The sequence below is a fragment of the Homo sapiens genome, chromosome 1, assembly GCF_000001405.40.
Source record: "Homo sapiens chromosome 1, GRCh38.p14 Primary Assembly".
NCBI lineage: Eukaryota > Metazoa > Chordata > Mammalia > Primates > Hominidae > Homo > Homo sapiens.
This window is the reverse complement of record NC_000001.11, coordinates 230331593-230345866: the sequence shown is the minus strand read 5'-3', so window position 1 is coordinate 230345866 and position 14274 is coordinate 230331593. Positions and strand designations below refer to the sequence as shown.

The window sequence follows — 14274 nt, the reverse complement described above, 5'->3', positions numbered from 1 at the left end:
CATAGTTTAGCCTAGTTTACTTTAAACATGCCTGGAACACTTACATTAGCCTGCAGCTGGGCAAAATTAACACAAAGCCTCTTTTATAATAAAGTGTTGAATATTTCATGGTTGTTTACCCTCGTGATCGCCTGGCTGACTGGGAGCTGCAGCTCACTGCCACCACCCAGCATTGCACAGCATATCACTAGCCAAGGAAAAGGTCAACATTTGAAGAAATTTCTACTGAATGCCTGTTGCTTTCACATGATCATGAAGTCAAAAATCATAAGTCAAACCAGTGTAAATTGGAGACTGTCTGTATTTATTCTGTGTCACAGGCCTGCTAAGGACTAACCTAGACCCCAGAATACCCTCCAGCCCTACCCTGTTTGCAGAGGGCTTGTGAGCATGGGAGCTAGCCAGGTTTCCCCTCCTCTCCCCTCATCTGCAGGCTCCCCTGTGAGCCAAGGAGGAGAAAAAGGAGAGATTTATACAGATGATGACTCTTCCAGTGTAGGGGAAAGCCACCTAATTGAGCGATTGGAGTTCCTCAATCCAAGACGCTGAGGCTGCTCATCCTGGAAGCCTGTGCCCTCTATGTGGGTGGAAAGAAAACTCTGAAGCAGTTCTCTGCAGAGATTGCTGTTCAGGCTCCACAATGTCAAAAAGATCGAGGCTCCAGCGGGAAAAATTGGCCAACAGGTTAATGTTCATCGACCTTTAGTGATTAATGGAACCCCAAGATTCTTTGGAGGAGAAAAAAAAGGTCCACTAATTTTTTTGAATGGTATAGTCTAAAAGAGCAGATTTCTCCTGTTTGAACACGTTGGGCCAGGCACCTGCCTCTGCAGCATGAGACCAACGTTCCCAGCAAGGGATGTTGACAGATGGATGAACACTGAGGAGGGGCTGAGGAGCAGATGCCTGGGAGGTGTCCTGAGTGGCATCCTGAGTGGGGCTTGGAGAGACATAGGGAGGTGTCATCTAAAGAAGACAGGACAGACCGTCTTCAGAGGGCTGGGTGGCTGTCATGTCAAGGAGGCAATTCTGGATGACAGCCCTGCTCAGTGGAGGCAGGGCTTCAGGTTCACGCTGGGCATTGACATACTCCGGAAGTAGATGGGCATTAGAAGCCAGAATTCAAGATGGTAACCCCCAAGCAAAAGAACCCGTGCTTCCTACCCCCTGCACACATCATGGAATCTGTCCAGGCAGAGCCCTCATGACATCTGTGAGGGACACTCTGAATGAGGTCCGTGTGCCCTGTGCTGCTAAGCTAGCTGACCTGGAAGCCCCTTCCCTCCCTCAGTCTCATCTGTGGATTCTGGCAGCTGCTTCTGGCGTTCAGGAAAGAATGACGAACACTTACAGAGTGTGTGTTGTGGGCCAGGCTCTGTGCTTAAGCACTTCACATGCAGGATTCATTTTTTCTCCACAAGGGCCTTAAGAGGCAAGTAATGTCACCGCCACTGTTTCTTGGTAAGGAAACTGAGGCACAGAGAGATTTGCTGCCTTGCCTAAAATTAGATCTACAAAGCAGTAGACCTGGGATTAAACCCAGCCATTCTGACTCTAGATCTCACCTTCTTTTTTTTTTTTGGAGACGGAGTCTCCCTCTGTTGCCCAGGCTGGAGTGTAGTGGCGTGATCTCGGCTCACTGCAAGCTCCACCTCCTGGGTTCACACCATTCTCCTGCCTCAGCCTCCCGAGTAGCTGGGACTACAGGTGCCCGCCACCACGCCCGGCTAAATTTTTGTATTTTTAGTAGAGAAGGGGTTTCACTGTGTTAGCCAGGATGGTCTGCATCTCCTGACCTCGTGGTCTGCCCGCCTCGGCCTCTCAAAGTGCTGGGATTACAGGTGTGAGCCACTGTGCCCAGCCTGGATCCCACCTTCTTAACCACTAGGCTATGTTGACTCCTCCAAGGAGAGAACTTTTCCCGATTTAGACAAAAAGCCAAGTATCTTTTATCCAGCTTGATTGTTGGTAGGACAGTGGTCTAGCATCCACGTCACTAATTTCCCTTATTTTGAGACATACTATTTATGTTGAAAGAATTTAAAGAAGGTGCACTAAAGTGTTTTTTTCCTTATTTGACTCAGTCTTTTTACATACTAAGTGAAATATTTTGCTCTTGACCTATAACTAATTGAATTGGCTCTAAAAGTGAGGACCACTATGGAATTAATTGGCTGGAGTGAATTTTGCTTGTGGATTCAGAAGCTGGGCAGGGCAGGACATGTGTCCAGCTGTTTAATCGTGCAGTGAGGAGGATGCTGGCATGAGATCCTGTCCAGGTTGGACACGGTAAGTTGAGGATGGGATTGGCTGAGGCAGAAGACATAACCGTGGACCTCTTTGTGTCCTTGAGCAAGTAGCTGAGAACTACCTTCTTTCTCCACTTTTGAATGAAGTTAATCCACCCACACCTCTTTACCGTATAGGACTTCAAAGATGACAATAAAGTATTTATTAAGTGCCCAGGTAAGTGCACCAGCTACTGTGTGGATCAGATTCAACCCTCTCCCTAAAGAACTTCGACTCTTCAACTGCACAGACATGAGTGTGTACAGAGAGCCCACATGCTGATACATGTCCCTCCTCCAACCTGTCATTTTGAAAGAACCACCTCAGGCTTTGAGCTTTGGGATGAGATGAAGGCAAGGCTCCCACAGGGGTCAGCGGTGCTGAAGGTGCAGCCAGAGAGGAGAAGGACCAAGAACAGACTCAGCACATGAGCTCTTCCTGGGCATGGTCATGGTGAGAGGCCTGAGAGAGAAACTGGGCAATGAGAGATGAAAGTCATCAGTATGGTGATGGCTTAGAGACTTTGCTAGAAGCCCCAGCTAATACACAAAGATGACACAAGCAGCATTGTCCAGCAGGACTCTCTGCAATGATGGAAATGTTTCATATCTGCTCTCCATGATGGCAGTTCCTAGCCTCATGTGACTGTTGACTATTTGCATTGTGACCAGTGTGGCTGCGGGCCTGAATTTTTCATTTTAGTTAATTTAAATGTAAATGAAAACAGCCATATGTGGCTGAAGGCAACCACATTGGGAGCACAGTTACAGAGCTTTGCTATATTAAAAAATCACTTCTATGTGCACAATTTTCACTTAAAGACAAGGGCCTTGCAAGGTGCATATGGCAACGTTATCCTTACAGATAAGGAAAGCAAGGCTCAGAGCAATTAAGTAACTTGCCCCCAAACCCACAAGCCAGTGAATGACAGAGCCCGTGCCCATGTATCCTGGCACTCACCCTCCCTGCCTCAGTTCCTCTCATGACAAGTGACTGTCATTTACAATTCACAACTCTCTCAAGTGGCTGTCCCATGCAGATGTCCCAGGTGACAGCCGCACACACCCCGTGATCTCATTCTGCGTCTTCAGTGAGTGCAGATCGTGCACTGCTGTGCTGTTTCCACAGCTGAATTACTTTCACCTTCATAGCTCCTTGCACACTAGAGATAAGACTCAAGCAAAGGATCACCAGTCCCTACGATGTGATACCCTTCCCCCAAATATGCTCTTCACTGAGAAAATTGATTCTCTTCTGTGCTGAAAAAGAAGTAGGGTCATTCATTGGTCAAGACCAGTATAGCTGAACTGGGCTTTCTCCAGTTCTTTGTGTTAGAGAGGCAGGAGGGTGCCCGGATCCCAGCAACAGCTTAGTGGAACTATCAGCTGGTGAGTCAGCAGCTACTGCCACTAGCCTTACTGTTCTTTTGAGAAGTTGAGGGAAAAGATGAACTAGATCCTGTCTCTGGAGGTCGTGGGGGCATTTCAGGAGAGCTAAGATAAATCCCATGTGCTGTATGTGTCCCCCAGGGTATTAACTGCTATAATCCATAATTCCTAAGATCCTTTTTGTTGTAATGTCAGTATAAAATATGCAACATTAGGAATAATACCCTGGGGCAAAGTATAATGCCATATAGTAATAAACTTGCATGCCTACTTTCTTAAATATATATATATTTAAAAATCATAGGAGCAAAAAAACTTTTTAGGAAAAGTGAAAAGCTTGGCAACCACCAAATGGTACATTTTCCTGCTCTAGAGATACTTGTCAAGCAGTCTTGTAGCTCAGAAGTGTCTATAACTGGCTGCATTTTGCCCAGTGATAGGAAGTCACCTATGTCTACACACGTTGGTGGAACCATATTAGTATGATAGTGCTTTCTCTAGATATGTCTAGGGAGATATCTGACTTTTTGAAAAGCAGACCAGGAAGTAGTCACACATCTAAGTGAATGGTATTTCCTTCCGTGTCGTGTCTGGGGAGCTCTTGTAGAAAGTACCCAACCCAGTGTCTGAATACATGTGTGGGTTCCCAGTGATTCTGCTGTTTCTCAGATTACTGGCAGGATTCCTTAGGATTGTCTTTTAAACCTGGACGAGATCATTAGCATAGCTTGTATAGCTTAAGCATTTGTAGCAACAGAGCATGGATAGGATAAGACTTCACTGGAGGTTGCTCATCCAGCTAAGGGAAACAAGTTACTACCTTTGACCACTGACGTTATTCTGTCAAAGCAAACCAGGACCAGTCAGGTACCGGACCTGCCTGGCCATCAGACCAAGCAGTACCTCTTAGACTGGGCCTTTTCCTGGCCAGATTTTGACTGCCTTGCCAACAGTTTTTCCTAAATCATGCCCTCAACTGAGACTTTCAAGGTTACCTCTTTTTTGTATTTATTTAAATGAAGGTCCTATTTTATATTCACTTTTAGAAACTCATTATTTTATAGCAATGAGTGCCACACATTTGGGACTCTCTTTGGACTCTCATTGGTGCCACTTCTTGGCTGCATCCTTCTTCCAGATTTCCTAATAAGAAATCTTTGACCTTCGGCTCAGTGCCTGTCTCCTCTGGCTCAGTGCCTTTAGCTCAGTGCCTGTCCCCTTCTCCTGTGACATCCCAGTTGAGCGTCCACTTCTTCAGAAGAGGCTGGCTGGAGTCTGGAAAAATGGCAGTTTTCAGAGGTGCATGTGTGGACACGAGGCTGAGTAATTTCAAGGCAGTCCTGCGGCAGGACTGCCTTCCGTATTCTACCCAGGGATTGTAAAATCTCAGCTGCACATCACTGGCTTTTGGGAAAATGTGTTAATTCCAAGACAGCAAGAGGCTACCCTGATTCTCAGAGTCATCGTCATCTCCAGGCATGGAGATGATGAATAACCGTTCACTCAGACCCAAAGATACTGCAAATTCCAAATAGTCTTATGCTTGGGTAATCCTGATAAGGAAGTTATTTTATAATTATTTTTAGTGGGTTGTTTTCTGATTAAGTTGTATTACATATTTAGCATCAAAAACATTAAAAGCCCAGCATATCTGTCATTCTGATAAATACTTTTTATACAGAAATAGCCGCTTGAGTGTATAGTCAACATATATTTATAAACACACACATATACACACACTTGCACTGTTTTATAATCTGGCTACTTACAAGGATATTGTGAACATTTTCTATGTTATTAAACACTTTTTCTACATGATGATTTTTTAAAGTATATCACATTCCATTATACCTACATATATAATTTTAACCAGTCTGCTCTTCATGTAAGGTAGTTAGGTCATTGTTAATTTTTTTACCATTATAAAAAACCCTGAAATGGACATGGTATTTTATATATAAATCCTTTTAACACATTTCTGATTGTTACCTTGGATTGAATTCCTAAAAGTGAAACTCATGAGTAAAATAGCATGAATATTTTTAAGGTTTTTACAAAATTTATTTTTTAATTGACAAATAAAAATAGTATATTTTTATTGTGTACAACATATTTTGAAATATGTAGACACTGAAATGGCCAAATCGAGCCAACTGACATATGCATTACATCACATAGTTATCATTTTTTGTGGTGAGAACACTTAAAATCGACCGTCTTGGCAATTTCCAAGAATATATTGTTATTAACTTTAGTCACCATGTGGTACCATAGATCTCTTGAACTTATTCCTCCTATCTAACAGATTTTGAATTCTTTGACCAATACCTCCCCACTCCCACTTCCATCCCCCAGCCCCGTAACCACCATTCCACTCTCTCCTATTAGTTCAACTTGAAGTTCACATGCAAGTGGGATCATACAGTGTTTCTCTTCCTGTGCTCGGCTTATTTCACTTCGCTTAATGTCCTCCAGGTCCATGTTGTTGCAGATGGCAAGACTTCCTCCTTTTTAAAGGCTGAATAGTATTTCATCTTGTGTATATGCCACATTTCCTTTATCCACTTATCCACTGATGGACACTTGTGTTTCCATATCTTGGCGATTGTGAATAATGCAGCAGTGAACGTGGGAGTGCAGGTATCTCTTAGAGATCCTGATTTCAGTTCCTTTGGGTGTGTACTCAGAAGTAAGATTACTGGATCCTATGGTTGTTCTATTTTTAATTTTTTTGAGGAACTTCCATACTGTTTGCCGTAACAGCCATACTTTAAGGTCTTTGATTCATGGGCAAAATTTCCCTCCGGAAAGTTTATGCGTATTTATACCAAATCAGCACAGTGCTCATTTCCCTACATCCTCACTGACACTGAGTGTTTGGACGGGGAAGGTGTTGTTCACTGTTGGTCTTCAGGAAAGTACATTGAATCAGTCTGTTTCCCAGGGAATAAAACTGACGTCATCTTCACTCCGCTGGTTTAAAAAAGGTGGGGAAGCATTAAATAAAGTGGGGAAGCACTCCATTTCTCAGCTATCACGTTGCAGTTCTTCAGATGCATAGAAGTGCCTGGTGTGGAAGCAGTGTGCCCCAATGTGTGTTAGAACTCAAAGATACAGGCTTCCTGCCCCTGGTGTGCACACACTTCCCCGTTATTCGCTCAAACAGTAATGTGGGTGTTGATGAGAAGGAATTTGGATTTTGCAAATGTATTATGGTCCTAAATCTGTTAAAGAGAACTTATCTCGCATGGGCCCAACCTACCCAAGTAAAGCCCTAGAAAAGGAACCGGGCTCTTCCTGACAGAAAGCACAAGAGGGACGCAGCTTCAAGAAGAGGCCCCATTGCGGGCTTTTTTTTCTTTTCTTTTCTTATTTATTTATTTATTTTTGAGATGGAATTTCGCTCTTGTCGCCTAGGCTGGAGTGCAATGGCACGATCTCAGCTCACTGCAACCTCCACCTCCTGGGTTCAAGCGATTCTCCTGCCTCAGCCTCCCAAGTAGCTGGGATTACAGGCATCTGCCACCACACCTGGCTACTTTTTTGCATTTTTAATAGAGACGGGGTTTCACCATGTTGGTCAGGCTGGTCTCGAACTCCTGACCTCAGGTAATCACTCACCTCAGCCTCCCAAAGTGCTGGGATTACAGGCGTGAGCCACCGTGCCTGGCCAATCATTGCCGGCTTTCACAATGGAAGAGGTCATGTGGCAAGGACTACATGTTGCCCCCAGGAGCTGAACGCAGTCCCTGGCTGACAGCCAGCAGGGACACAGGACCTCAGTCCTGCAGCCGTAAGGAAACAACGGGAATGCAGATCCCAAGCACCAGATGAGAACCCACCAGTCAACATTTTGATTGCAGCCTTGTGCTGCCCTAAGCAGAAAAGCCAGCCGTGCCCTGCTCAGACCTCCAGCCTACAGAACTATGAGCTCATAAACGGATGCTGTTGAAGCCACTGAATTTGTGGTCATTTGTGCTGCAGCAATTTAAAAAACATAATACACAGCATTTAAAAATTTGAGTGTAGATGTCTGCATAGAAACCACAGGCAACATGCGAGCTGCATGTGTTAATGTAGAAATAATCTGTGGCAGGCTCAGATCTATGAACTTCTCTAGCAGTTCTGGTTTGCAGTGACTTACCGTCGTCCAACACCACATTTTGTGTTGTGTTTTGTTTGTTTAAGATATTTTCGCTAAGTCACATTTCTTGCACCTGTACTGGAGGCAGTTGATTTTTTTGAACATGCTCTTCTTCAATCCATTAACTTTCCTGCCTCTACCCCTTTGGTGATGTTCATGGAAGCAGCATGAAACGACGTTTAAAAATTGCTGACTGAGTCCCCACACATCCTCTTTGTTGGCCCTGGACTCTTGGGCAAATGTTTAGCCCTCAGTCCTGTCTCCTCTGCACCGTGAGGGGAATCATACCTCTTCTGCCTGCCTGATGGGGGTTACTATAAAGAACAAATTAAACAGTCATTATGAACATACCTTGTAAATTAAGAAGCTGTATTCAAATGGAAAGTACACAGATAATGTGTATTCCTAACAGGTGAGGTTGCCTTTAATTTTATTTATAGTGAATTTAAATCATTCCTGTGTTTGAAAGCCGGGGAATGTATTTGCACCATCCCATTACCCATGGCTGCTTGTTCCTTTCCTCCTCTGCCTTGACCTTTCCAAACTGAAGCATCTGGGGCTGAGTCACCAATCGCCAAGGCCACGGGGTGTGCTTGGGGGTGACCTAGAGTCCCTGTGAGCTGAAAAGATGATGGGGGCTTTTCCATGGGCTCCCAACTGGATGACTGAGACCCATGAGATCTGTGCTTGCTGAATACTCGGGCTCCCAGCCTGACACTGCTGTGAGCACGCTAACCTCTGTGTGTTTCTGTTAAAGATTTATGTCCACCTGAAGGAAGGTGGGGGCCCAGATGGCCTGGATGCGCTGAAGAATAAGCCCCAGCTCCACAGCATGGTGGCCAGGAGCCTGTGCCGGAACGCGGCAGGCAAGAACTACATCATTTTCACGGGGCCCAGCATCACCAGCCTGACGCTGTTTGAAGAGTTTGAGAAGCAAGGTTAGTCAAGTGGGGAGCCAGTGAGGATACGGCCCAGCCTCCCCTGGGAAAGTGGTGGGAGAGGTCCAGGTGGGGGTGCAGATACGTGGTGGCCACCACAAACCACAGGATGCCAGGTGATGAGGCCCTTCCTTGAGGGAACAGATGCGTCTCAGCCACCCTGTGTGCTGGATCCCGCTGGGCACTAGAGATTGCAAGGTGTGTGAGCCACGGGCTCAAGGTCTAGAGGACATGTCGGCGCAAAGCTCTGCCTGGCCTTCGGGGCATTTGTGTGTCCCCTGTTGGAAATCTGTAGCCATGAAAAGCCTGCGTCCCCTGGACACAGCTTCTAGTAAGGCTCTAGGAAGTCTCTGGAACTCACCCATCATCTATAATGTGGCCCCTTCCCAGGAGACAGGCAAGAATTGTGTGAAGACAGGGAACAACAGTACAATGAGCCTCAGAAAAGCCTTAGGTACTCCGGGTGCTCAGGTGTTTGGTGCATGCATGGCAAAGACTGGGCAAGCCTTCTATGGCTTTGGAAGAAATAGGGGCTATAGAAAAAGAAGATCTGGACCAGTTCAGGGAGCCCTGTGGCAAGCTGCCCTGGCCTTTGCTTTGTCCTGGCTTTGGGGATTTAGATCTGGTCCACTCAGAAGCAGCACAAAAAGTGCCTGCTCCCCTGCAGCAGCCACTAGACTAGAATTGCAGACCGTTTGCTCAGCAGCAGTCAGACATCTGGCCTTAAAACTAGACCCTCTTAAGTAATGAGGTGTAGACAGCTGACATCCTGGAGCCCTGGCAGCTGCAGTGAGGCCGCAGCCCTGGACTTCACTTTTTGCTGGCCTCAGCTGCATCTTACTCATCTTCAAAGCCCAGGGCTTAATAGTTATTTGTTGGAAGAATCAAGGGTAGAGAGATTCGACGACATGAAGTGGGGCTGTGAAAGTAAAGCAAGAGAAAATTGGCCCTGAAGCACAGTACCCAGCTGCTTTGGAAGAATGGGGGGTTCTCTGTTCGAGCACAGGGTGAGAACCGGGACTGCCATCTCTCCTGCCCACTCGTACAAGGCCGAGCGTGGGTACTGCGAGTGTGATGTTTATGTGTGTTCCAGGGCCTGTTCCCTGCCTCACACCATCAACCTGGACTGAAAGTAGAAGGGGTGTATGTGTGTCTCTGTGTCTTTGTGTGTCTGTGTGTGTCTGTGTCTGTGTCTTTGTGTCTGTATGTCCGTGTATGCATCTGTGTGTCCGTGTATGCATCTGTGTGTGTATCTGTGTGTCTGTGTGTGTATGTGTATGTCTGTGTCAGTGTATGTGTCTGTGTGTCTTTGTGCCTGTGTGTGTGTGTGTGTCTGTCTGTATCTGTGTATCTGTGTGTGTCTTTGTGTAAGTCTGTGTGTGTCTGTATGTGTACCTGTGTATGTATGTGTATGTGTCTGTGTGTCTGTATCTGTGTATCTGTGTGTGTCTGTTTGTGCGTCTGTGTTTGTGTCTGTGTGTGTACCTGTGTGTGTGTCTGTGTCTGTATGTGTATCTGTGTGTGTCTGTATATCTGTGTGTGTCTGTAAGTCTGTGTGTCTGTGTGTCTGTGTGTGTCTGTATGTGTACCTGTGTATGTATGTGTATGTGTCTGTATCTGTGTATCTGTGTGTGTCTGTGTGTGCGTCTGTGTTTGTGTCTGTGTGTGTACCTGTGTGTGTGTCTGTGTCTGTATGTGTATCTGTGTCTGTCTGTATATCTGTGTGTGTCTGTAAGTCTGTGTGTCTGTGTGTCTGTGTGTGTCTGTATGTGTACCTGTGTATGTATGTGTATGTGTCTGTATCTGTGTATCTGTGTGTGTCTGTGTGTGCGTCTGTGTTTGTGTCTGTGTGTGTACCTGTGTGTGTGTCTGTGTCTGTATGTGTATCTGTGTCTGTCTGTATATCTGTGTGTGTCTGTAAGTCTGTGTGTCTGTGTGTCTGTGTGTGTCTGTATGTGTACCTGTGTATGTATGTGTATGTGTCTGTATCTGTGTATCTGTGTGTGTCTGTGTGTGTACCTGTGTGTGTCTGTGTGTGCATCTGTGTTTGTGTCTGTGTGTGTACCTGTGTGTGTGTGTCTGTGTCGAGTGGGGTAGATGCCATGGAGATAAGGTAGGTGGAGTGGGGATGCTAGAGGACTATCCCGGGCCATCGATATGGTTCCCAAAGAGCTGAGTGTGCTGCTCCTGTGGTTCTGAGGAGGGGATGCCTCTTGGCTCAGAGAATTAGGAGGATGGGAAAAGAATCTTCTAGCTGGAAGAAAATATTTAGATATGGAATTTGGATTTTTTTCAAGAGAAGGTTAGGTAAGAGATAAAAAAGATCTCCTTGCCTATTTTTAGAAGCATCTAAACTGAGCTCTTCACCCAGGGCGTCATCATGTACCTCCTCTGCCGTGACTGAGGGTAGTGTCCTCCAGCATGTCCACAGGGAGGGTCACTGGTGGCTGCACCGTGCCTCCTCAGGACACAGATTGCATTGGTCTGGGCCACTGTCCCCCCACCCTGGGGGATTCTCAGGCAGCCAAGGTTGAGGAGAAGAATCAGAGCTGAGAGTCTGGTTGTCCCTCCTAGGGCCACACAGACCATTGTCAAAAGCCAGAAAGGACATTCCTAGAATAATTTCTGTGTTTATAAAGGGATAGATTCATGGAAACTTGAGTGCTGCTGGAATGTTCTTTCCCTCTTACGAACATGCAGCTTCTCTTTGGCTGGTGGTGTAGATTGAGCCCCAGATGGGTGATTTTGGACATCCTTACCCTGGTTCATGTCATCCTCCTCCCTGTTTCTAAGAACAGATTCTCCTTTTTACATCTCTAGATGAGAGTAGCTTGAGTGGTCACGTGCGGTTGCTAGGAATGGAGCTGCGAGCAGCAGCTCCCTCCTCTTTTCAGCAGCGAGACTCAAAAGCACCTCCGGGTGCATCTTCCTTCCCACCTGCCACAAGGAAAGGAATTCGGAAGAGGAAAAGATTCATTCAACTGTCCTTCTTCCAGTGCAGGGTGGGATGCGGGGATGAGGAAAGCAGATGCATGGGATATGGGATGTGTTCAGGTGACCGATGGCACTGTCGGTCCTCCGGGAGCTGAGCAGAGAGTAAAGGCTGAGACTGCTCCCAGGGTCTCTGCGTCCCCTCCAGGCTGCTGGGGAGCAGCTGAGTGCTTGTGGCCCCTGTGGCCTTCTGTCCCAGCAGGGTGGGGCAGGCCCATGAAGTGGAAGGACCTGAAAGGCCTTGAGTCCAGAGTGGAAGTGAGCAAGTCCGCGGTGGGTGTTTGTTCATACTGGTCTCTACCGCCCACCAGCCACCCATGCCAGTCTTCCAGGCCTGAAAGACCGAGCTCAAGCTCCTTCTCCCTCAGGAAGCTCTCCACCCACTCATGGAAGGACACTTGGTTTAGTTCACATTCTTGGATTATTCTTTCCTTCGCATCAAATATAGCTCCCCAAGGAGATGGGGGCTCCGTCTGACAGCTTCCTGGGGTGCAGTGTGGACTGGCTCAGCACTGGGCTCGCGTTCAGCCACGTCCTGGTGAGACCATTAGGATGATGTAACCGTGGCCAGGTTTGGATGCTGGACAGTCCTGGGCTTCATGCCTGTCTTTGCCCTCCCAGCTGTGAGTCTGGGGGCTTCGCCCTTCTCGAGTCTCAGTTCTTCTTCTCTAATGTGCATGCCATAACCTATGGAGTGCAGAAGTTTCTTGAAGTAGATGGGATGATGAGTACACGTGCGTAGTGCTGTGCTGGACACCCAAGTGAGGGTCCAGGTGACAGCTCCTGCTGCTGCTGCCGATCCATTGCTTGTGCTGTAGCCCTACATGCAGTCTTAGCATACTGTATGTTCTTAGGGAGGGACCTGGGGAGATTGTCACGGGGAGAGACAACAGAGGGATACGAGACCTCAAAACTTCAGCAGTCTCTTCTAGAGGGGTCTCTAGAGGGTCTGACTCCCAAGCATCAGCCTCAGAACCGGGCAGTCCCGTCCTTTCCTTGGGGGTGCCCAGGGCGGAGGAGCCGCCGGCATCTCCGATGGTGGTGAGTGTGCGATCCTTCCTCCCTCTCCCCTCAGGGATTTACTGCTGCGGCTTGCTCCGCGCGCGGAAGAGTGACTGCACCGGCCTCCCACTGTCCATGCTGACCAACCCAGCCACACCCCCGGCCCGGGGCCAGTACCAAATCAAGATGAAGGGGAACATGTCCTTGATCTGCTGGTACAACAAAGGACACTTCCGCTTCCTGACCAACGCCTACTCCCCGGTGCAGCAGGGTGAGTGCGGGTCCGCCATTGACACAGTGGGGCGCGCGGGGATTGGTTGAGCTTGGCCGAGCCCACCGCTGCGGTGGATGTGGCGTCCACTGTGGGCTGTGCTGCTCTGGGGTCAGACTACCCTCGGTTATTCCCCAGCATCTGGGGCCACGCTCCTAAGTGTGGCGGCTGTGTGGAAGCAGCGGGGAAGCAGCGAGGAAAGAGCTCCCTGTTCGTTGTAAGCTTTTGAGCGGTGCATGCTGACGGGGTTTGCAGGTGGCTCAAGCCACCACGGGGTATGATAATGGCTGCATTTGAATGGCATTTCACTTTGTCGTCTGGGATTCTGTGAAAAATCCGTTCTGATGGAAGGAAAAATCCACCATTCTTATCTTTCAACGTCTTCCTTAGAAGTAAAGCATATGCGCTGTCTGGTTCATCCGCTGTTCCCTGATTTCTTCATTGATTTTACTCAGGATTTAAAATCCATTCTTAACAAAGGGACTTACTTAGCAAGGAGCCTATACTTAAAGTACCGTACAGTGAAATCATCACTAAACCACTGAAAAGAACACTGAAAGGACAAAGGGGCCCTTGCAAAGGCGTTCCCAGCTGTGCTGTGCTTGGGGGCAGCCTCCCCTGCCTTCACACGGAGGCTTTCCTCAAGACAAATGACGACGAATGAGGTAGAAAACAAAGGCCTCTTTCCCCTTCACTTGTAAAGGAACACTGCTAAGGAGCCCAGGTGTTTGTGTGCAGATTTGTGCTCTCACATGTACGTGTGTGTGGTGTGTAAGCTTGCCTGGCATGTTGTGTGTGCTGTGTGTGGTGTGTGTGTGGTGTGTGTGGTGTGTATGTTTCTGCGGTACAGTCTGTGCATCTATGTTTAATGTATGTTGCTAGTTTATTCCCATCCTTCACCTCCCGCCAGCTTAAGTTGCATCACGCCTCAGTGGAGATTGCGATCAAGGGACCCCAGCAGATGGGCATCAATACTCGATTTGGTTGTAGAGGATTGCAGGGAGCTGTGCTCTTGAGTGCTGTGTCTAGGATCAGTTGAAGAAAGGTTTGAGCCAGGCCTGGTGGCACCCACCTGGAGTCCCAGCTACTCAAGGGGCTGTGGCAGGACATTGCTTGAGCCAAGGAGTTCAAGACCAGCCTGGGCAACATAGAAAGATCCCCATCTACCAAGAGAGAAAAAAAAAAGGAGGAGGAGGAAGAACGAAGAAGAAAGAGGAAGAGGAAGTAGAGGAAGAAGAAAGGAGATGAAGA

The 14274-nt window shown here is 47.4% G+C and overlaps 1 protein-coding gene across 1 annotated transcript in view, besides 4 other annotated features; it reads left to right on the top strand.

Annotated features, from left to right (window-relative positions):
- Window positions 1–14274, top strand: part of PGBD5 (piggyBac transposable element derived 5) — a 111843-nt gene that overhangs the window by 80466 nt on the left and 17103 nt on the right. The window contains exons 4-5 of the mRNA NM_001258311.2: window positions 8579–8759; window positions 12826–13023. Of these exons, the coding sequence (NP_001245240.1) occupies window positions 8579–8759; window positions 12826–13023 (379 nt within the window). The remainder of the gene's footprint in view (window positions 1–8578; window positions 8760–12825; window positions 13024–14274) is intronic.
- Window positions 12177–12821: an enhancer, noted in NCBI's record as "H3K27ac-H3K4me1 hESC enhancer chr1:230468792-230469436 (GRCh37/hg19 assembly coordinates)". NCBI's record gives its function as "activates a minimal SCP1, AML or CMV promoter by ChIP-STARR-seq in naive H9 embryonic stem cells {active_cell/tissue: H9 hESC(naive)}" and the evidence as "EXISTENCE:reporter gene assay evidence [ECO:0000049][PMID:30033119]".
- Window positions 12177–13466: a biological region, named in NCBI's record as "H3K27ac-H3K4me1 hESC enhancers GRCh37_chr1:230468147-230468791 and GRCh37_chr1:230468792-230469436".
- Window positions 12810–13104: an enhancer, noted in NCBI's record as "tiled region #8330; HepG2 Activating non-DNase unmatched - State 22:ReprW, and K562 Activating DNase unmatched - State 4:PromP". NCBI's record gives its function as "activates a minimal TATA promoter and a strong SV40 promoter by Sharpr-MPRA in HepG2 and K562 cells {active_cell/tissue: HepG2 | K562}" and the evidence as "EXISTENCE:reporter gene assay evidence [ECO:0000049][PMID:27701403]".
- Window positions 12822–13466: an enhancer, noted in NCBI's record as "H3K27ac-H3K4me1 hESC enhancer chr1:230468147-230468791 (GRCh37/hg19 assembly coordinates)". NCBI's record gives its function as "activates a minimal SCP1, AML or CMV promoter by ChIP-STARR-seq in naive H9 embryonic stem cells {active_cell/tissue: H9 hESC(naive)}" and the evidence as "EXISTENCE:reporter gene assay evidence [ECO:0000049][PMID:30033119]".